The 24454-nt window shown below is 37.7% G+C and overlaps 1 protein-coding gene and 1 pseudogene across 7 annotated transcripts in view, besides 1 other annotated feature; one reads left to right on the plus strand and one right to left on the minus strand.

Annotated features, from left to right (window-relative positions):
* ERLEC1P1 (endoplasmic reticulum lectin 1 pseudogene 1) overlaps positions 1–24454 on the plus strand; it is a 65494-nt pseudogene that overhangs the window by 39900 nt on the left and 1140 nt on the right.
* The window catches only part of LIPI (lipase I), a 102144-nt gene that overhangs the window by 10062 nt on the left and 67628 nt on the right, over positions 1–24454 (minus strand). The gene's annotated exons all lie outside the window — the stretch shown is intronic.
* Positions 1554–1603: an enhancer, noted in NCBI's record as "active region_18269". NCBI's record gives its function as "activates an Ori minimal core promoter by ATAC-STARR-seq in GM12878 lymphoblastoid cells {active_cell/tissue: GM12878}" and the evidence as "EXISTENCE:reporter gene assay evidence [ECO:0000049][PMID:35858748]".

Raw genomic sequence — 24454 nt, forward strand, 5'->3', positions numbered from 1 at the left:
ATAATAGAGAGATGTGTCTCCTCATGGAATGCTCCCCTATTGCTGGTGTTAAAACTTTCTGGTGACTACTGGCCTATACAAGCCTTAAAGGCAATCAACGAGGTGGTGGCTACACTGCATGCTATTGTGCCTAACCTGTACGCTATGCTTGCACAAATACCTGCTAGTGCTGCTTGGTTCACATGCTTACACATAAAAGATGCATTCTTCTGCATCCAATTAGCCCCTGTAAGCCGAGACATTTTTGCCTTTGATTGGGCCCATCTCAGTATACCTGGACTAGACTTCTCCAAGGATTTAAAAACTCCCCAACTATCTTTGAAGAAGCACTAGCCTCAGACTTAAAGGCTTTCACTCCACCTAGCGACCCATGTATCTTACTGCCATACATAGATGATTTGTTACTAGCTACACCCACCAGAAAGGAATGTATGCAAGGAACAGAGAGTCTCCTTTGAGCGCTGTGGAAAGCTGGCTATAAAGTGTCCAAGGAAAAGGCACAGATCTGTGGCCAAGGAGTTCAGTATCTTGGCTTTTACATCTCTCAAGGGCAGCATGAGCTTGGGTGGGAGCAAAAGGAGACTGTCTGTAGCATTCCTCAGCCAGACACAAGGCGGCAAGTGCGGGAATTCCTAGGGGCAGCTGGTTTCTCCCGTATATGGATCCCCAACTACTCACTCCTAGCAAAACCTTTATATGAGGCGATGAAAGGGCAGGGAAAGGAGCCCCTCCTTTGGGGAAAAGAACAGGATATGGCTTTCAAGGAAATCAAGAAAGCTTTAATTCAGGCACCAGCACTAGGGCTGCCAGACATGACAAAGGCCTTTTACCTGTATGTTCATGAAAGAAAAGAAATGGCTACAGTAGTCTTAGTGCAAATGCTAGGGTCATGGTATTGGCCTGTAGCATATTTGTCCAAGCAACTAGACTTTGTGGCTAAGGGATGGCCACCCTGTTTCAAGGAACTGGCCGCCACTGCCTTGTTAGCCGAGGATGCTAACAAGCTCACATTTGGACAGAAGCTGATAATTCAGGTGCCCCACACAGTTGTCACCCTGACGGAACAGAGAGGACATCATTGGCTCTCTAACCCTAAGATGCTAAGATATCAAGGGCTCCTATGTGAGAATACATACATCACCTTAGAGACTGTGAATACCCTAAATCCAGCCACACTGTTACCAATAGAATATGTGGAACATGGGAAGCCCCCGTTATGTGCCCCAGGGTACCACTGCTGTGTAGAAACAGTGGATGAAGTCTTTTCAAGCCAGAAAGACTTAAAGGATCAACCCTTAAAAGACCCAGATGTTGAATATTTTACTGATGGAAGCAGCTTCATATCCAAGGGTGTCAAAAAGGCCAGATTTGCCATAGTCACATTAAGCTCGGTGGCCAAGGCCCGCCCCCTAGCGGTAGGAACCTCAGCACAGAAGGCAGAATAGCTCTCACAAGAGCACTACTTCTAGCAAAGAGAAAGTCAGCGAATATCTATACTGACTCAAGATATGCTTTTGCCACCTTGCATGCTCATGGAGCCATTTACAAAGAAAGAGAACTGTTAACTACTGAAGGAAAGGAAATAAAGAACAAAAAGGAAATAGGGCAGGTCCTAGAGGCTGTATGGGCTCCAAAGGAAGTAGCAGTCTTCCACTGTAAGGGACATCAAACAGGAGGAAGTGATGAGACTACAGGAAACAGAAAAGCAGACAAAGAAGTGAAAAGGGCTGCAATGACAGAAATAACAAAGAAAGAAGAGACTTATGTTATGCCCTCATTAGAGCCTCCCCTTGCAGAGACTCCTAACTACTCATCCAGTGAGAAGGTGTGGTTCACACAGGAAAATGGGTGTTATCAAAAAGGAGGCTGGTGGAAGTTTTCAGATGGGGAGGCGTGCCATTCCAGAAGCCATTGCCCCCCAATTTATAATGCAGTTTCACCAAGGAACACACATGGGGAAGACAGCTTTAGAAATTCTCGTAGGGCAATATTTCTATGTGCCATGCCTAACTGCCATCACTCGAGCCATCTGTGAGCAGTGTGTTACTTGCATCCAGAATAACCTAAGGAAAGGGCCTACTCAGACCCCAGGAATTCAGGAAACAGGAGCAGTGCCATGTGAAAACCTGCTTGTAAACTTTACCAAACTGCCTCAGGCTGGAGGCTGTCAGTACATATTAGTGTTTGCACCTTTTCAGGGTGGATCAAGGCATTCCCCACCAGGACAGAAAAGGCATGAGAAATAACCAGGATATTATTAAAAGATATTATTCTTAGATTTAGAATGCCTCTACCTTTAGGCTCGGACAACAGACCAGCTTTTGTAGCAGAAGTAGTACAGCAACTGACTCAGATCTTATAGATTAAATGAAAACTGCATACAGCCTATCAACCACAAAGTTCTGGAAAGGTTGAGAGAATGAACAAGACACCGAAACAACTGTTGAAGAAGTTTTGCCAAGAGACTCATTTAAGATGGGATCAGGTATTACCCATGGTCCTTCTCTGAGTCAGGTGTACCCCTACTACATTAAACGGGTATTCACCCTATGAGATAGTGTACAGCCGACCAACTGCACTTATATCTCAGGTAAAAGGAAATTTAAAGGAAATTGGAGAACTGACCCTAAGAAGACAAATGCAGGCATTAGGTGAGGTAATACAAGAAGTACAAGGGTGGGTAAGAGAAACAATACCTGTTAGCCTTACAGATGCAATACATCCCTTTAAACCTGCTGACTCTGTGTGGGTTAAACGCTGGAATCCTACCACCCTCGGGCCCTTATGGGATGGCCCCCATATTGTAATCATGTCTACCCCTACCACTGTTAAAGTTGCAAGTATTACACCTTGGATCCATCACAGCCGACAAACCTGCAGCCTCAGTTCAAGACCAGTGGACAAGTCAGCAAGATCCAGATCATCCAACTCGACTGATCTTGCGGAGGAACCAAGGCACAGCAGAAAAAGATGACTGCCCTGCCCCAACCACACCAGAGGCTGGTTGGTAAATGCACTGATGAAGCTTGAGGAAACGTCAAGCCCTGCTCTAGTCACACAACAGGAAGCTGACTAGTCTACGCATGGCTGAAGCCTGAGGAAGTTGGTGCTAGATAAGTAAATGTGGATTAAATTTGCAAGTGTAGTTATACTATTGCTTATACTGATTGTTTTGCTGTCATGCTATCTTTGCAATTGCTATCAAACTTGTTGCCCAGGAGGATGCCTGTGCATAGTGTAAACTTGATCACAGTAGTGACAATAATGCTAACAGGCACGGGAGGAAACCAAGATAATTGTCATCATTATATGATAGAAGCTTGGTTTGGTAAAGGTATAACAAAAACCCTGTTATATCAAACTTATTATTAGTGTACAGGAATCCCCTGGGGACATGTGTTTATAATCAAACCAGCTACTCTGTCTATGACCCAAGTCATGGGCAACCTCAAGTATGTTATGATCTAGGCCTCCTACCCTACAACTTTTGGTTTGAAATTCAAATAGGGAAACCTTTGTTACCCACATATGCCAATCCTAATAACGTTGGAACTGGGAAACTCATAAGCAAAACACGGGTATTACCTTATTCACATAAAGAATCAGTTTCTATATATTTTGATGCCTGTCAGGCTGCACACCTCAGCAACCTAATCCAGGAGAAGTCTGCAAGAACTTAGGACAAGAAAGAGTCAGCAGTAAGGCTGCTAAGATCATAATAGAAGAACCAGAAGAAGAATGTCCTGATTGTAACTTTCAACGGACCACACATGAATTCAGCCAACACCTATATACAGGGGGAGTAGCTCTGCTTGCCAGCCAAAAAGCAAAGATTGGTTGTGTGACTAACACATGCAACCCCCTTAATTTGACCATATTAAAGCCAAACATACCTTTTTGGACTAAAGGACATCAAGGAGAGCTAAGCTTTGATCAAGAAAGAGCAAACCTAGGTGTTTCATTGGTCATTATTAAAAAGACTCAATGAGCTAAAGTTCAAGTCAGTCCAATGTCACAGTTCAGATTTTTCAGATCCTTCAATAAACATTTTAACCCCAAGGATCCAAAAGTTCAGATTCCACCAATGTCAGCCAAGAACCTATTTACTCAGCTAGCTGAAAGTATTGCTACTAATCTTTGAGTCACCTCATGTTATGTATATGAAAGTACCAGTATAAGTAACCAATGGCCCTGGGAGGCTAGAAAACTAATGCCACAAGATAACTTCACCATACTGGAATTTGTTACAAGGTTCAATGTATATCCAAGTGTCTGTCTATTAAAAACCCCTATCATTGGAAGATACTGCATAGCATGATAGGAAAAGACTTTCAGACTCCCGTAGGAGATACAACCTGTTTAGATCAGCAATATTTTGAAGAGTCTAAGAACAAGACACAGTGGAGAAGCTTCATAGACAATTCCTCTGTATCAGATTTTAACCCTCTCTCTCAGTTTCCAGCGCTGAATCAGTTGTGGTATCAACTAGACACTACAAATGTTTGGAGAGCACCATCAGGACTATATTGGATCTGTAAGACAAAAGCCTACCAACTATTGCCCGAGAAGTGGACTGGAGCCTGTGTGTTAGGGACAATAAGACCATCCTTCCTCTTGCTCCCACCAAAACAAGGGAAGATTTAAGTTACCCAGTCTATAATGAAGAAAGAAAAAGGACCAGAAGAAACATCTTTACTCAGATAAGTACTGTAGAAAAGATAAACACAAACATAAAGAAGGACATTAAGATAGGTAGCTGGAAAGATAACAAATGGCCTCCTGAAAGAATTATCAAATGCTATGGGCCAGCTAAGTGGGCCCAAGATGGATCATGAGTCTACCGCACCCCTATTTACATGTGAAACCAAATTATAAGATTGCAAAGCAGTACTAGAGATCATAGTCAATAAGACAGCTCGAGCCGTGGATCTGTTAGCCATACAAGCCACTCAAATGAGAGACACTATATACCAAAATAGGCTAGCATTAGACTACCTCCTGGCCTCAGGAGGAGTTTGTGGCAAGCTTAATTTAACCAACTGTTCCTCACAAATCAATGATAATAGAAGAGCTGTTATGGAAATTACTGCCAGAATGCGGAGGTTGGCCCATGTCCCAGTCCAGACTTGGTCCAGGTGGAGCCCAAACTCACTTTTTGGAGGATGGTTCTCATGGTTTGGAGGCTTTAAAACTTTGATAATTGGTTTTGTAGCTATAATTGGAGGATGTCTAATACTGCCTTGTCTTTTACCTCTCCTCTTCAGAAGCATCCAGTCTACTATTGAAGCAATAGTGGACCGAAAAACTACCACCAAAATGATGGTGCTACAAAAATACCAACCGATCCCCTGGGAAGAATATGTGCCTACACAGGAAGAGATAAACGATTATGGTGCTCTTTATTAATCTACATTTATAGCGAGCACCAAAGGGGGAGATGAAGAAAGAATTCATGAATTTTACAAGTATAATCAAAGACAAGACATTTTTACTTTTTCCTTCAAAAGCTAAGTGTAGTGTAGCAACCTCACCCACCTCCCCCGACCCCGCCCCGGTAGAATACTAACTGCCTGTTTTTCCTTCTGTGCTCAGCGAGCCTTATCTGTACTTGCTAGTTTCACATTCCTTGAGGCTCAGTGAGTTCCTGCTTCACCTCTCTAGGGCAGCTGCAAAGTTACAAGGTTGATACAGAAACATGGTTTCCCAGGTATGTGTAACATGTAGTATAAATAAATGTAAAAGACTGATCAACTGCCTAAGTACGCTTCCTGCATCAAGTAGCTCCCGGACACTGACAGCTTAAAAGGTGGCTGCTTTCTTTGTCCGGGGCTCAGACTTTTCTGGACACTAGTCCAACTAAGCCAGGTGATCATCTTTTAATAAAGACCTTTCCTGAACTCTGTTCGGTCTCTCTTATCTCTGATTGTCCTGCAACAGTGAAACCCCATCTCTGCTAAAAATACAAAAATTAGCCAGGCGTGGTGGCACGCACATGCCTGTAATCCCAGCTACTCAGGACGCTGAGGCAGGAGAATTGCTTGAACCCGGGAGGTGGAGGTTGCGGTGAGCCAAGATCATGTCATTGCACTCCAGCCTGCAACAAGAGTGAAACTCCACCTCGAAAAAAAAAAATGTCAAACTAGAATTATATACCCAGAGAAATTATCTTTCAAAATGAAGATAACTTGAAGACATTTTTAGACACTAAATGTTGAAAAATTCACTACCAGCACTATACTACAAAAAAGTTTGAGAAGCTCCTTCAATCTGAAGTTAAATTATACCAGATGAAAATACACACATGCATAAGAGTTTGAAAAGCACTAGAAATGGTGACTCTGTGGGTAAATAAATAAGCTTTTACTTAATTATTTATATCTCTTTAATAGAACAGCACAAAACCTGGGATAAGAGAAATGTAAGTATACTATTGTAAAGTTCTCATCTTCTATGTGAAGTGGTAAAACTTACATGAAGTTAGACTGTAATAAAGTTATAAACCCTAAATAAATCACTAAAATAATAAAAGAATAATAATTAGCAAACTGACAAAAGAGATAAAATTTAATCATGAAACTACTTGGTTCATCCAAAAAGGCAGACGATGAGGAAAAACGGAACAAAGGACAGATGGACCGAACAGAAAACAAAACAGCAAGATGATAGTGTTTTGTTTTGTTTTGTTTTGCTTGGCTTTGCTTTGACATAGAGCCTCACTCTGTCACCCAGCCTGGAGAGCAGTGGCGCGATCTCTGCTCACTGCAACCTCTGCCTCCCAGGTTCAAGTGATTCTCCTGCCTCAGCCTACCGGGTAGCTAGGACTACAGGCATGTGCCACAATGCCTACGTAATTTTTTTGTGTTTTTAGTAGAGACAGGTCTTCACCATGTTAGCCAGGATGGTCTCCATCTGACCTCGTGATCCGCCCGCCTCCGCCTCCCAAAGTGCTGGGTTAACAGATGTGAGCCACCGCGCCAGGCCAAGATGATAGTTTTAAACCCAACTATATCAGTAGTGACATTAAATTAAAAGATGTAAATATCCTCAATTAAATGGCAGAGATCATCATCATTTTTCATTTGAGACATGGAAATTTTAAGAAAAATGAGATACCTCTACACACCTACTAGAAAAGATAAAATGAAAATCAAACATTTAAAAAAAAAAGGCTGGTGAAGGTGCAGTTTGGGTTTAGGAGAACGTGGAGCTCTTACATTTTGCTGGTAGGAATGCAAACTGTACAGTCACTTTGGAAAAGAGACTGGCAGTTTCTTATAAAGTTCAACTCACATTTACCATATGACCCAGATATTCCAATTCTAAATATCTATCCAAGACAAATGAAAACTTATGTTTACTTAAACACCTACATGTCCAATATTAACAGCAGCATTATTATAAACATCAAAAACTGCAAGCAAACCATATGTCCTCTTACTGGTGGATGAATAAACAAACTGTGGCATATCTATACAATAGAATACTATTCATAATAACATGCCATTGACATAAGTAACAACATAGATAAATTTTATATGTATATGGTTAAGTGAAATAAACAATATTTAAAAGACCTCATGCTACACAGTCAACCCTCTGTATCTATGGATTCTACATCCATGGATTCAACCAATAGCAGATCAAAAATATTTGGGGGAAAAATAGATGGTTGTGCCTGTATTGAACATGTACAGACTTTTTTCCTTGTCATTATCCCCTAAATAATTTAGTATAGCAACTATTTATATATCATTTATATTGTATTAAATACTGTAAGTAATCTACAGATAAGGTTTAAGAGAGGATATGCATAAACTATATGTAAATAGTACATACTTTTATATCAGTACTTGAGGACCTGTGGATTTTTGTATACACAGGGTTCCTGAAACCAATCTGCCACAGATACTGAGGAGCAACTCTAATTCTATGTATATGTCTGGAGAAGTCAAACTTGGGCACAGTGGTTGCCAGCAGGTGGACTTGAAACCCAAAAAGCAGCATCAGGAAGTTTTTATGATTGATGAAAATGTAAATTTTGATTGGGGTGGTGATTATATAACTCTTTGTATGTATGAAAATCCATAGAACTATACAACAAAAGAATAAGTTTTACTGTTACATAAAATTTTTGAAAGTAGCTTTAGCACAACATTTTCTAGAAGTCATCTGAAGTCACCTCTGTCGTGCATAATCCCTCTCAGCCCTAAGGTCTGAGGTCCTACTCTACTGGAAGCACCTAGAAGGAGAGCTCTGCTGTTGTCTCTATCACAGTCTGTTACAAAAAGATAATTACTTGTTGACTGCATGCATAGTTTAATCTGGACCATAAGGCATCACATTTTTATAACTCACATTCCCAATAATTTGGCAGTATTAAATCTCACTAATTGCACATTATCTGTATGGACAGATCTAAATAGGAAAAGCAAATAGATGGTTTCAGCAATTACCTAGGTAATTAAACTTAAGCATACATTGATCCAAACATGTGTTAGCATCTCCAGCCAGCAGGGAATGTAGAGAGTTTTGCTCAACAACCACAAAATGTATTTTAGTATTTTTTCCCCAGAGTAGAAACAATTGCATCCAGATTTCATACATTTAATAAATTTTCATAGTTTATCCATGTTTAAATTTTACATAAAAGTTAAAATTGCATACTTGTTCTGTTTTCTTTTGCTCTGTTGCATATCCTAATGACTTCACCCTATTTTTTACCTAACACATGAATAAGTAAAATATAATATTTCTCTATGTAAAAATGATTAAGAAGACAGTGAGATAAATAAAATATGGACAGACCTGTTTGTCTTTTCCCTTTCCTTTATAATAAGTGGCTAAGAAAAAGAAATGTATGCAGAGAACAATGGTTGTGTGCTCACCAACATTCTGTACTAAGGTGTAAATATCATAACCTGAGATAGAAGATTTAAAAATGTTCCTCCTCCTTGACGTCTCTTCTAAGCATATATAAAAATGAAATTGTCTAAAATGAAGATAGTTACATATGTATAGATATTAACTATTTATGATAAAACAAACTTTGGGGAAAAATGAAGGATCCAATAATAAAGGACACTAAATTTAATAATCCACAAAAGATAGAATACAAAGTAGCCATTAACTTAGGGAAAAAAAATGCTTACAACCCAGTTCATGATATAACATAGAACCAATAACGTTGTGTTCACCTTGTTTTTTATGTAAATAATGAGACTTGAAGATACTGCAGTGTAGGCTGAATGATGTATACACACAGACACTGTGTCATATAATGTAAAAAATTAAATGCATGTTTCAACTGTAACATATGTGTTTATGAGTAAATATAACAAAATATTAACAATTACTATCTCATAGTTGCAGAATTACATATGAATTAAAATTTCCAAATCTTCCACAATGGGAATAATTGACTATATTTCTTATTGAAAAAGCTGTTATTTTTAAACTAGTAATAACTAAAAACAAAAGAAAAATAAAACAAGGACAAATTAAAAACTCCAAGAAAGATTTTAGTTTCAAGTCATTGCAAAGGTGCTTCTGAGCTGAGAAACCTTAGGTAGCCTGTGTATCAACTCTGGATTTCTATTTCTTAAACTAATAGAGAGGATACCTCATAGATTTGTTGCAAGGACTGAAAAAATAGCATTTGTAATGTAGTAGACACCAATTAAATGTTTCCACTGTTACTCATCTAGAAAGCAGTTCACTAATATAAAATAATTATCAAGGATATATCCTTAAAGATGCCTAAATAGTCAAAGAAATCATCAATCTTAGGTACACGATATATCTTAAGTGTGTCATCCAAAGCATGCATGTTGGAGAAAACTGAAAATTCCTTGCTTACATATTAGTTCTCTATAGGAAATAATTAAATTCACTTTGGGGCAGATAACTCTAAAGATAAATTCTACTTTCAGAGATAAAATTGCAATCAATGCAGATTTTATTATCTAACTTTCTTAGTCAACTGTGATCAGAGCCTTCCTATATCCTTAACAACGCCCTGGGTGAGAGTATTGATCATTATAGTTCTCAGAGTGAGAATGGTAGCAGAAGTGAATAAAGAGTTTGAACAAGATGTTTAGAAAGTAGTAATAATACAAATTTTCCAAGAATCTAGGAGTATTTATATAGTTAGAGAAGGAGACATAGTTTCACAGAAGTATTTGGAATAAGGAATTTTGTTGATTAAATATTTCAACAAAATAGACAAGTATGTTTTATATAATTATGACGTGGTCAGCCTGTTCATTGAGCTGTGTATTTATAGATAAGAGAAGGCATAATGAAAGTCAAATTGGGGACCAATCAGGGAAGGGAAGAAAATGAGAAGAAATGATTTAGCACCTAATATTAACTAAACACTTTACATATATTATACCACTAAAAATAAATGTACAGAATGGCGAGACAAATATAGAAAGAAAAGCAACCATTTTATGAATAAGAATTATTGAATGCATTTATATATATTTGTAATATATCTTAATCAAATTTTGTTAAGATGTGTATTGATTATTGAATACCTAGGTAATAACTATAATTGTGTCCCACAACAGTTAGTGAAAATATGTGTTGTAATTTTCAGGATTTCAAACTAAAAAATTCTTAAGATGTGTACCCAATTATACAATTACCACCTAGAATTATGTCATAACAACTTCTAGGCAAACTAAAGAGAGAATCATTTATTTTAATTATTTGTATTTTAAAATTCTTATGTAATATAACTGCAGAAAAAAATTAATAAAAACAGTTTGATGTCATGGAAGAATGAAGTCAGAAAAAAGAAAAAAATAACAATTTTAAAAGTCGATTGTGAATTAAAATATTCCTTAATATGATAGGTAAAATGCTGATTTTTAAAAAAACCTAAGTATAATAATCTATTTGTTCAATAATGACTCTAATTGTTTTTTTTTTTAAAAAAAAAAAAAGCTTATTTCTCACCTTCCTTAAACAATTTGATTCTTCTCAAGTGAGGCACAACTCACACAACATAGAAAAACATACATATGGTACTCTCACTGTTGATTTTGTTTGAAGTTCCTGTTCCTTATTTGTATCACTTCTCAACATTTCTCTGAACCTGGACAGCATCATTTGAGGACCAAGGAAAAATTGGAGAGGGGGTGGTGGAGAGTGACAGTGGAGGAAACATTTTAGGATGGATCAACAAACTTTGTAAAATTGTAAAGTTAGTTTTTAAAAAATTGCTACTTTTAGACACTCTTCAGAGTTCTAGAGTCCCAGTCCCCATATTCTCCCAAAGTTTAGCCATAATGTTTAAGAGAAAAAGTGAAAGATAGCCAGGTGTGGGGGTGTGCACCTGTAACCCCAGCTGTTTGGGAGGCTGAGGCAGGAGAATCGTGTGAACCCTGGATGCGGAAGTTGCAGTGAGCCGAGATTGTGCTATTGCACTCCAGCCCAGGCAACAGTGCAAGACTCTGTCTAAGAGAGAGAGAGAGAGACAAAAGTGAAATGTGAAAGATTTTAGCATCTGTGCCCTGCCCTTGGACCAAGTTCAAGTTGACATTGCTACCACCACCACCTCGCCAAGGAAGGATGAGGAAACCAGGCTCTCTCTGCTCTGTATATCTAGGATAATACCCACTACCATGCTATGGGCTGCTGACAGACCAAGACTTGAACAGACTGCACTGCCCACAGTTTCTTGCTCATTCAGCACACCTGAGTGGAGCACCGCCCTCTCTGGTCACAAGCCCACACCTAGCATCATTTTGAGAGTTTAGTGATATGCTGTGCCTGACCCTTGGGCCAAGTTTGAGGAGATGCAGCTGCAGCTGCCAACCAGCCAGAGGAGGGATGGAGAGATCAAGCTCTTCTAAGCACACTTAGGACAATAACTACTCCCCTAATGCCAGCAGCTGTGGGACTGAGGTCTAGCCTGCCCCACCCAACACAGCCACCAGGAACACCAACATGGACCAGTTGTGTCCCAGTGCATTGCTCCACCACCACTCATCATCCACATGCTACCCAGAGATCTGAGAGCCTTCCCACACAGCTGGCTCACCACTCCCACTACTAACTTTTTTGTTGTTGTTGTTTTGTTTCGTTTTGAGACGGAGTCTTGCTCTGTCAACCAGGCTGGAGTGCAGTGGCACGATCTCAGCTCACTGCAAGCTCTGCCTCCCAGGTTCATGCCACTCTCCTGCCTCAGCCTCCTGAGTGGCTGGGACTACAGGCGCCTGCCACCACACCCGGCTAATTTTTTGTATTTTTAGTAGAGATGGGGTTTCATCATGTTAGCCAGGATGGTCTCGATCCCCTGATCTCATGATCCACCCACCTCGGCCTCCCAAAGTGACCCACTACTAACTTAAACAAGCTACTTGGAGGCCCCAAAATCATCCCTCCAGGACCAACTAGCACTGGGGCCAGTATAGGCTGTTCTGGGGCCTAAAAACAGGCACATTTACCCCACTCTGCCACCACTGGGGTCTGAAGCCTGGTTCAGTTAGCATCCAAGTCCCCATCAAAACTTTGCCACAACATCAACTAATAACTACCTTAAGTCACTGAGGAAATCACAGTTAATACAGACTCTGTGTACTGCTGAAGAAGTCATACAAAATTATACTATCACAGGCACCCAAAATCAAAACCAATATATCCTACTCAACCAACAATCTACAAACATCTTTAGGAAAAAATTCTCCCCTATAGAAGCACTTTAAAAAACTGAAACAAGTGACTGCTACACCAGATGTGTAGATATCAGTAGAAGGACACAGAAACATGAAAAAGCAGGGAAATATGACACCACCAAGGGACCGCAACAGTACTCAAGCAATAGATCCCAACCAGAAAGAATTCCTCAAAGTGCCAGGTAAATAATTCAAAATATAGAATTTAAAGAAGCTCAATGAGATGTAAGAGAAATCTGAAGACTCATACAAAGACATCAGAAAATCAATTCAGGATATTAATGAGAAATTTACAAAGTTTCTTGAAAGAAAAAAAGCATAAATTCTAGAAGTAAAAATTTCACTGAAGGAAATACAAAATACATCCAAAAGCTTCAATAAGCTTCAACAATAAATTAGACCAAGAAGAAGAAAGAATCTCAGAACTCAAAGATACGTTTTTAAAAATAATCCAGTCGGGCAAAAAACAAGCAAATAAACAAACAAAAAAACAAAGCCTTTAACATCTTTTACTACATGAAGTGACCAAACGTATTAATTATTGGTATTCCAAAGAAGGAGGAGAGATCACAAAGCTTAGAAAAACTACTTAAGGAAAGTGGATAAAAACTTCTCAATCTAACAGGAGAGTCAGACATGCAAATACAGGAGTCCCACTATTTCCCAGGCAAATACACTGCAAATAGTACATCACTGTGGCATATTACCTTTAGGAGGTCTAAAGGCAAACTGAAAGAATTTTTAAATTAGCAAATGAAATGTATCTAGTCACCTATAAAGGAAGCCCCATCAGAATAACAACAGACTTTTTAGCAGAAACCTTATGAGCCAGAAGATAATTGAATGACATTTTCAAAGTGCTGAAAACACACACACACAAAAAAGTTTTGGCCAAAATATTTATATCCTTCCAGAATAAGCTGCATAAATGAAGGAGAAATAAAGTATTTCCCAGACAAGCAAATGCAAAGAAAATTTTTCACCAATTAACAAGTCCTACAGGAAATGCTCAAAGGGATCCTAAACATGGAAACAAAAAGTCAATATTCACCATCACAAAAACACAAAAATATAAAACTCACAGTTCTTATAAAACACTCACACAAAGGAAGAAGATACAGGAATAAAATGGCAACACTACAGAATCTCATAAAACCACAAAGTTCTTCAAAAAGATAAATAAAATTGATAAACCACTAGCTAGGCTAACCAAAAACAGAGAAGATCCAAATAAACACAATCTGTAAAGAAAAAAGGGATATTACAACTGACACCACAGAAATACAAAAGATCTTGAGAGACTATTATTAACAACTATGTGCTCACAAACTAGGAAACCTAGAGGAAGGGAGTAAACTTCTAGAAACATACAACCTCCCAAGACTGAACCTAGAAGAAATAAAACACCTCAACAGACCAAAAATGAGTAGCAAGATTGAATCAACAATAAAATCTCACAACAACAACAACAACAAAAAATGCCCAGGACCAGATGGATTCACAACCAAATTCTACCAAACACACAAGAAACTAATACATATCCTCATGAAACAACTCCAAAAATTGAGGAGGAAGGAATTCTATTCTTTCTAACTCATTCTAAGAGGCCAGTATCACCCTCATATGAAAACCAGATAAAGACACAACAAAACTACAGATTAATATTCCTGAAGAAAATAGATGCAAAAAATAGCAAATCAAATGCCATAGCACATTAAAAAAATAATACACTGTGATCATGTGGGATTTATTGCAGGGATGCAAGGATAGTTCCACATGTGCAAATTAATAACTATGACATATCACATAAGCAGAATGAAAGACATCATCTCAATAGATCTAGAAAAAGCATTTGATAAAATTCCACATCTTTTCACGAGAAAAATTCTCAACAAACTAGACATAGAAGGAACATACCTCACATAATAAAGACAATAAATGACAGACTCACAGCCAGCATCAAACTTAATGGGGAAAAGTTGAAAGCATTTCCTTTAAAAATTGGAAAAATATAAGGAAGTTCACTTTCACCACTCTTATTCAACGCAGTACTGTAAGTTCTCACCCCAGATAAATCAACCAAGACAACAAAATAAAAGGCACACAAATTGGAAAAGAGGAAGTAAAATTATCTCTGTTTGCTGATGATATATGCTTATATCTTGAAAACCCTAAAGACTCCACCAAAAAAACTCTTAAATTTAATAAGTGAATTCAGAAAAGTTTCAGCATACAAAATTACCATACAAAAACCAGTAGTGTTTCTATACATCAATAATGATCTAGCCAAGGACAAAGTTAAAAAGACAATTTCATTTTGCAATGCTACAACACATTAAAATACTTAGGAATATAGTTAATCAAGGAGGTAAATCATCACTTGGCCAAGCACAGTGGCTTGCCACTGTGGGAGGCTGTGAGCTCCTTGGGAGGCTGAAGCTGGAGGATTGCTTGAGCTCCAGAGTTCAAGATCAGCCTGGGCAACATAGGGACAACCCATTTCTACAAAAATAATTTTAAAAAAAATAGTCAGGCATGGTGGTGCATGCCTGTGGTCCCAGCTACTTGGGAGGCTGAGGTGGGAGGATCACTTGGGCCCAAGAAGTCAAGGCTGTAGTGAACTGTGATCATGCCAGTATACTTCAGCCTGGATGATAGAATGAGATTCTGTCAAAAAAACAAAACAAAAACAAAACTCTGTAAGGATAACAACAAATTACTGATGAGAGAAATCATAGATGACACAAACAAATGGAAAATGGCCCGTGCTCGTGGATTGGAAAAATCAGTATCATTAAAATGACCATACTGCCCAAAGCAATCTATAGATTCAATACAATTTCTATTGGATTACCAAAGTCATTTTTATAGAATTAGAAAAAAAATCTAAAATTCGTATGGAATCAGAAGAGAGCCCAAATAACCAAAGCAATCCTAAGCAAAAAGAACAAAGTTGGAGGCATCATATTACCTAACTTCAAATTATACTACAAGGCTAGAGTAGCCAAAACAGCATGGTACTGGTATAAAAATAGACACACAGATCAATGGAACAGAATAGAGAACACAGTAATAAAGCCATACCCTACAACCAACTGATCTCCAACAAAGTCAACAAAATAACACACTGATAAAAGGACAGCCAATTCAATAAATAGTAGTAGGAAAATTGAATAGCCATAGGCAGAATAATGAAACTGGACCCCTGTCTCCCACCATATACAAAGGTTAATTCGAGATAAATTGAACACATAAACATAAGACCAGAAACTATTAAAAAAAATCTTAGAAGAAAACCTAGGAAAACCTCTTCTGGCCATTGGCAAAGAATATATGGTCAAATCCTCAAAAGCAAATGCAAAGAAACAAAAATAGACAAATGGGACTTAATTAAACTAAAAAGCTTCTACACAAAAAAGAAACAATCAACCGAGTAAACAGAAAACTTACAGGATGGGAAAAAAATTATATGCAAACTATGCACCTGACAATGGGTTAATACTCAGAATCTATAAGTAACTCAAACAGCTCAAAAAGCAAAATAATAATCCAATTAAAAAGTGGGCGAGGACATGAACATACATTTTTGTAAAGAAGACATACAAGCAACCAAGAAATATATGAGAAAACAGTTGACATCACTAATCATCAGAGAAATGCAAATTAAAAGCACAGTGGGATTTTGGGAGGCAGGGCAAGATGGTGGAATAGAAAGCTCCACTATTCCCCACTGCAAAGACATCAAGTTAACAAGTATCTACACGGAAAAAAACACCTTCATAACCAAAAAATCAGATGAGCACTCATAGTACCTAGTTTTAACTTCATATCACTAAAAGAGGAATTGAGGAGATAGAAAAATCAGCTCTGAGTCACTGACACCACTCCTCCCCCATCCCCAGGAGTGGCGGCATGGTGCAGAGACCCTCTCTGGGTGCTAGGGGAAGGAGAACACAGCAATTGAGAGGCATTGAATTCTGTGCTGTTCTGTTAGAGCAAAAGGAAAAACCAGATCAAACTCAGTTGACACCAGCCCACGGAGGGAGTATTTAAACCAGGCCTTGCCACAGGGGAATCAGCAATCCCAGTAGCCTAAACTTTAGTGTCAAGAAACCTGGCCACTGAGGCCCAAAGTACTCTTTGCCTCTAAGTAAGCTTGAAAGGCAGTCTAGGCCTTCAGGACTGCAACTTGTAGGTGAGTCCTAGGGCTGAACTAGGCCCAGAGGCAATAGATTGAGGGGCCATGTCACATACTGAGACATCAGTTAGGGAAGTTAAGGGAGTACTGGCATTACCCCTTCCCTAACCTCAGGCTGCACAACTCGTGGCTCCAAAAAAAGACCCCTTCTTCCCACTTGAAGGAAGGAGAGGTAAAGGTGGGGAGGACTTTGTCTTGCATCTAGCATAGCAGCTCAGCCACAACACGATAAGGCAACAGTCAGAGTCCTAAGGCCCCGTCTCCCCTGTTCCAGGCTCTAGCTCCTAGAAAACATTTCTAGACATGCCCTGGCCCAGAAGGAACCCCACTGCCTTTGAGGAAAGAACCCAGTCCTGACAGCATTCATCACCTGCTAACTGAAGAGCCCTTGGGCCCTGAATAACCAGCAGCAATACCCAGGTACTGCATGGAGGGCCTTGGCGAGCCTCAGAGATTTGCTGGCTTCAGGGACAAAACTGCTACAGGAGGGTAGAGCACCAAGTGGGCTCGTGGGGTTCACAATTCCAGGACTTGATTCTTGGATGGCATTTCTGGACCTGCCCTGATCCAGAGGGAGCCCACTGCCCTAAATGGTGAGTCCCAGGCTAGTTAGCATTCACCACCAGCTGTCTTAAGAGAAATTGGGACTTAAGGGAAAATCACTGGTAGTCTGGCAGTACTTCTTCTGTCCAAGGGTGGTGGTGCCTATGGGGTGAGGCTCCCCTGTCTTTGGAAAGGGGAGGGAAGAGGGGGAATGACTGTGTCTTGTAATTTGAGTGCCAGCTCAACTGCAATATAGTAGAATACCAGGTAGACTTCTAAGGTTTTTGACTCTAGTCGCTGACCCCTGGATAGTACTTCTGGATCCACTCAGGGCCTGGGGGACCTCACCACCCTAAAAGGAAAAACACAGGTCTGAACGGCTTGGCCACCTGCTGATTGTAGAACACCAGGGCCTTGAGTGAACATAGGCAGTTTCCAGGGAGGAGTTACAGTAGGTCTTGGGCAAGACCCAGTGCTGTACTGGCTTCAGGTCTGACCCAACACAGTCATAGTGTTGGTGGCCACAGGTGTGCTTGTGTCACTCCACCCCCAGATTTAGGTGGCTCAGAGCAGAGACAGAGAGACTCTATATGTATGGGAAAATATAAGGAAAGAGAACAAGAGTCTCTGCTGGTAATCCAGATAATTCTCCTGGATCTTGTCCAAGACCATCAAGGTGGTACCTCTATGAGTCTCCAAGAACCACAGCATTACTGGGCCTGGGGTGCTCCCTAAAGCAGGAACAGCTTAGATCACAACACTCAAGTTGTGACCCAAGTGTTTTAAAAGGTCTGGAGTGCTGTCCTAAGAAGGATGACCAGAAATAAGCCCAGAAAGTGAGGACTACAATAAACACCTAACTCTTCAATACTCAGACACCGAAGAACATCTACTAGCATCAACACCATGCAGGAAAACATGACATCAACAAAGGAACTAAATAAGGCACCAGTAAACAATCCTGGAGAAACAGAACTATGTGACCTTTTAGACAAAAAATTCAAAATAGCAGTGTTGAGGAAACTAAAAGGAATTCAAAATAACACAGAGAAGGAATTCAGAATTCTATCAGATAAATTTAACAAAGAGATTGAAATAATTAAAAAGAATCAAGCAGAAACTCTGGAGCTAAAAAATGCAGTTGGCACACTAACAAAAGCATCACAGTCCTTTAAAAGCAGAATGGATATAGCAGAAAGAAGAATTAGTGAACTTAAAGACAGGCTATTTGAAAATACAGTCAGAAGAGAAAAAAGAATATAAAGCAAGGTAGCATGCTTACAGGATCTAGAAAATAGCCTTAAAAGGGGAAATACAAGATTTATTCACCTGAAAAAGGAGGTAGAGAAAGAGATAGGGGTAGAAAGTTTTATTCAAAGGGATAATAACTGATCCAAGATAATAACAAATAACAGGGATAATACCCAAACCTAGAGAAAGATATCAATATCCAAGTATAAGAAAGTTATAGAATATCAAACAGATTTAACCGAAAGACTACCTTGAGGCATTTAATAATCAAACTCCCAAAGGTCAAGGATAAAAAAAGGGACCTAAGAGCAGCAAAAGAAACAAATAAAATGTTATGGAGCTCCAGTACTCCTGGTGCCAGACTTTCAGTGGAAACCATGTAGGCCAGGAGAGAGTGGCATGACATATTTAAAGTGCTGAAGGAAAAAAATAAGTTTACCATAGAGTAGTATATCCAGGGAAAGTATTTTTCAAGCATGAAGAAGAAATAAAGACTTTCCCAGAAAAACAAAAGCTGAGGGATTTCATTGATACCAGACCGTATTGATTACAATGTTCACCATTGAGGTTTTGGGCACACTAATAGCCCAGACTTCACCACTCCACAATATATTCATGTGAGAAATATGCACCTGAACCCCCTAAACATAGATAAAAAATAAAAATAAAGATTAAAAAATTAAAAAAGATTTCAGGACAAGTAATATAACAGGATAGATAGATAGATAAAAAAATAAAGATTTCAGGACAAATAATATAACTGCATATTGGCTGTCTAAGTTTATTCTCTAAATTAAAGACAGCTTTTTGGCTGTTCTTCAGTGAATAAGTGCTCTCATTTATCTAGAGAACAGCATAATATTTTTAAAAGAATCTGGAAATGATTGAACTAAATCCAATTAAGCTGAATAACTAGAGGAGTTAAAACAAGTGTGCAAGGCACTCAGACTAAAGCTGCAAAATTTTGGTATCCATATAAATTTTATTAATTTTTTAATCAAGGTATTTTTATAAGAAAAAGTCACTTAATTTTCTCCAATTATGGAATACTTATATATTTATTATATATTTGGAAAAAATTGTCCCTAGCCATCATTATGTTGTGATAGTTCTGCAATTTTAATGATTGCATAACATTTAATATTACAGCTATTCCATAATCAATGTATAAATTACCCTATTATTGAGCAGTCGATTTATTTATAATTTTTAGCATTGTTAATCAAATTGTAAATGTCTTCTATAGAAATACATACGTGCATTTTAGATCTTTCATTTTATTTATTTAACAAACATTTACATAACACTTATATGCCAGGCAATATATTACATTCTTTATAAATATTACATTATTTAATCTTCTTAACAATTCTGCAAAATAGACTATAACTACTCCCATTTTACAGGTAAGGAAAATGAGGCACAGAAAGGTTAATCATATTTTCAAGGTAATAAAGCTAGTAATTAGCTGAACTGAAATTCGAACCAGGATACTCTGGCTCCAAAGCTGACACTCTTAAATGTTACTTTCTGCTATGTCTCTGAAGTATAAATTCTAGAAGAGGATAGGGCCAGAAGTATTAACACTTGGGGATTATTAGAGTATTTTATTCACTTATTTCCAAATTGTATACTATACCCAGTATACAATTTATTAGTGTATTTTATTATTAGTGGGGATTATTAATGTATTTTATTCACTTATTTCCAGTATATGTATACAATTTTACATACCTACAATTGGTGAAACAAGATGGCAATTTCAGTATAACTTCAACAATATACTTTTTTTACAGTTTGGGAAGAGATATATTATGTCTCATAGCCTTCAATTGGGTTTAAGCATTTAAAAACATGTCTATTAATCATTTTTTCTTTCTTTTTAAAATTGTTCCATGCCAATGTATTTATTTCTGCATTTATTCATTCAACAACTATTCCTTTAGTGCCCAATATGTACCAGGCACAGTTCAAGGCACTTGAAATAAGTCTTTGAAGAAAATACATAGACTCAACATCCTCAAGAAACTTATCTTCTACTTGCAGAGATACAAACAATAAACAGCAAACATAAGTACAGAGGACAGTATAGATAATAACTCCTACGAGAACAACAAAAAATTCCAGGTAAGAGGATTGATAGTGGAAGAGCTGCTGCTCACAATTGTAAACAGGATGATAAAAGTAGGCTTCATTGAGAAAATGGCATTTGAGCAAAAGCTTGGAGGTGAGAAAGTTAGCCATCGGCACTTCAAGGGGAAGAAATTTCTAGGCAGAGGGAACATCCAGTACAAAGGTTCTAAGGAGGATCCTACCTGGTGTGTCCAAGGAACAGCAAAGAAGGCTGTCAGGATATAGCTAAGTGTGCAGGTACAGTAGTCAAGGCGTTGAAATTGGGAGGTATGAGGCAGTGGAGATACTAGTTAGGTCATGTGGAGTTTGTAAGCTATTGTGAAGACTTTGGCTTTTATATGAAGTGTGAAGGCAAGACTTTTGAGATTGTTGAGCAGAGGTGTGACATAACCCACTTTTAAAAGGGTCACTCTGGACAACAAATTATAGGACAACAAATTATAGGACACAAAGCTAAAAGCAAGAGAACACTTAAGAGGCTATTTTAAGAATTCAAGGAGAGATGATAAAACTTAGTGAGTTTGTAGCAGTACAGGTGGTAAAGAATTCTGGATATTTTCAGAAGGTAGGAACAAAGAGATTTCATGATTGGATGATGAGTGAGAAGAAAAAGACTAGTCTATGATGAACCCAGGTTTCTTGGCTTAAACAACTGGAAGGATATTTCTTTCCATGTTTCAACTAGAACGTATTTTAAAAATATTTTTGTAAAAGTTATTTATATATAAATAATTTAAATCCATCTATGTCATATACATTACAAAAGTTTTCTCAGTTTACTTTTGTTAATTTTGTTTGTGACATACAGTTTTAATTTTGTATATTTGTAGGCAACCGTAATATTTTTCTTTCAGTTTCCTGTTTTGGCTTTCATTATTGTGCAAATATAAACATTTGCCTAGATTTTCCTCCATTTTTTTGTTTATCAGTATACATTTAATACTTTACCATATCTAAAATTAATCTTGATATATGACATATCAAAGTCTTTTTCACTTGTCATTTATTCCAGCATCATTTTCTGTAATGCTCTTCTTATCATCTATAAAATTCTATTTTGGAATTTTCCATTTATTCCATTATATTCTTCCTCAAGCATCAAATATCTTTATTGTTGTTTTGGAATATTACTGTTTCATAAAGCTGTGAACATTACATTCATTATTCAGTCTGTTTGGCTCATCTTATTATTTGTAATTCCAAGTTGATTAGGAACAACCAAGCAACATCTACCTTAGATTTTGACTGGAGTCATGTTAATCTTGTAGGTGCATTTAACAAGAATGGCTATTGCTATAACATTGAATCTTCTACTCCGTTGATAATTTTTTGAATATTTGCAGAATTCTCTTCATCATCAAAGTTTTAAAATAAAATTTATAAGAATGGGTCTAAATGTTTGTTCTTTTCGTTCTTTTAGTTCCTGGTTTTCAGTTCATCCTTTCCATTTGAGATCTGTATCTTCTTTTCCTCAGTTGAAGGGGAATTTTTTTTTATTACATCCGTAGTTAGTTCTTCTGCTGTGTCTCCTCTTCAGCAACATTAGGTATCCAAAATATTGCATTTCAGTTATTTCACCCTAAGACCCTATTTTCTCTATTTTTATATCTCCTTATTCTATAAGTTATTGATAAATATATTTTCTACATTATTGGTCAAATCTATTATTTACTATTTTAATGTTGATACCAAATAACTTTAGTTGTTTTTTTTTTTTTAACTCAGCCAACCTTCTTTTAACTGCAATCAGTTGTCCCATCATCTCACTCTTCACTCGTTCTTATATGGATTTTTGTTTTCTTAACTACCATTGAGAACATTGAGCAATGCTTTATGGAACTTTCTTCTGTTTCCTGTTATAAATCTTTTAAAAAGTCAACCTTATTTCTAAATCTTGATTGTTATACCTTTTCTTCTTGCATTGCTATGCTGCATTAGGCCTCATTTTGTTGTTGTTTTGTTGTGTTTTTCTTGTCCACTTCTGCTTAAATGACGAAAGTGGTAGCTGCCCTGGCATTTGCCCATGTACACAGAGGGTGGATTATCCTTGGTTCTTTTTACCGTCCATATGAATGGAACTAAATTTCTGTTTCTCATCTTGAGCTTATGTGTTGTTTTATATGCAAATATTCTAGCTAAATTTCTGATGTCTGGCCAAGATTTACATTGTGTGCTGCCTCTCGACTGAGGAGGAAATTCTCTTGTATTTATGATACCACAGGGAGAAAACTTCATCCCTGGATAATATAAATTCTTTAAATTTAAATCCCAGGAAGAAAGCATGCACTACAACTTCTAGACATCTCTAATTATACTCCAACTTTACATTTAGAAGGTATTAATAAGGCAACAAGGGGACAACAACCCCTGTTACAATGATGCAAAACTCCTGGCCCCTTTACAGCCTAGCCTTAGTGGACTACAAATATAATTTCTATTCTTATGTTTAGTGGAGGCTTTGCATCTTCAAAATAACAGTCGGGGGTTGGGGGACTAGGGGAGGGATAGCATTAGGAGAAATACCTAATGTAGATGACAGGTTGATGGGTGCAGCAAACCACCATCGTACATGTATACCTATGTAACAAACCTGCACATTCTGCACATGTATCCCAAAACTTAAAGTATAATTAAAAAATAGAATAAATTGAAATAACATTGAATAAATAAATGAATACATAAACTAACCTAAAGGAAATAAACAAAAATGTCAGCATATTAGGTCAATGGCTTAATTATAGATTATAATAATTATGTATTATATAAGTATATTTATAGATTATAGATAATATATTATATATATATTTTGTTGTTGTTGTTGAGACAGTGTCCTGCTCTGTTGCTCAGGCTGGAGTGCAGTGGCACAATTATGGCTCACTGCAGCCTTGACCTCCAGGCTCAAGTGATTTTCCCACCTCAGCCTCCTTAGCAGCTGGGACTACAGGCACGCACCATCATGCATGGCTAATTTTTTAAATTTTTTGTAGAGATAGGATTTTGCCTTGTTGCCCACGCTGGTCTCAAACTCTTGGCCTCTAGTGATCCTCCCGACTTGGCCTCTGAAAATGCTGGGATTACAGGCGTGAGCCACCACTCTTGGCCAATTTGTATACTTATAATTTAGATTTTATATTTATACTATAATTAGTATATTAACTTACACTTATATTTGATAAATATTTTAATATCTATCAACTCAATTATTTGCATTATCTGTCCTAGGAAGTACTTTCCTGACATCAAGTTCCCTAAGATGTGAACTTTAATCAGCATGCTACTTGAATTTTAATCAGAATCATAGAGTAAAAATTGCCCTGGAAGAGTGTTTTATAGAAACTCTAGAAAAACCCAGCGAAATATGCCTACTCCACAATTGTATTTGCTGTTCTAATGACCAGATAATGGAATCCCCAAATACAGTAGCCCTTTACCATTAAAAGTATTAGATGTTTTGGAAAAGAGAGAGTGATGAGAAGCAAAAATAACAATAATAATAACAGATACAGAGATTAGTTGAAGATTGAAAATCTTACAGCTCTAGTCCTTCAAGGCATGATCCCTCCCCACTATATACTTTCATAGGGAATGATATTGCTAATGTTCCTGCCGAAAATGTTCAGATATTTTGGCATTTTCAAAGGCAAGG

Source organism: Homo sapiens, chromosome 21 (assembly GCF_000001405.40).
Source record: "Homo sapiens chromosome 21, GRCh38.p14 Primary Assembly".
Classification (NCBI taxonomy): domain Eukaryota; kingdom Metazoa; phylum Chordata; class Mammalia; order Primates; family Hominidae; genus Homo; species Homo sapiens.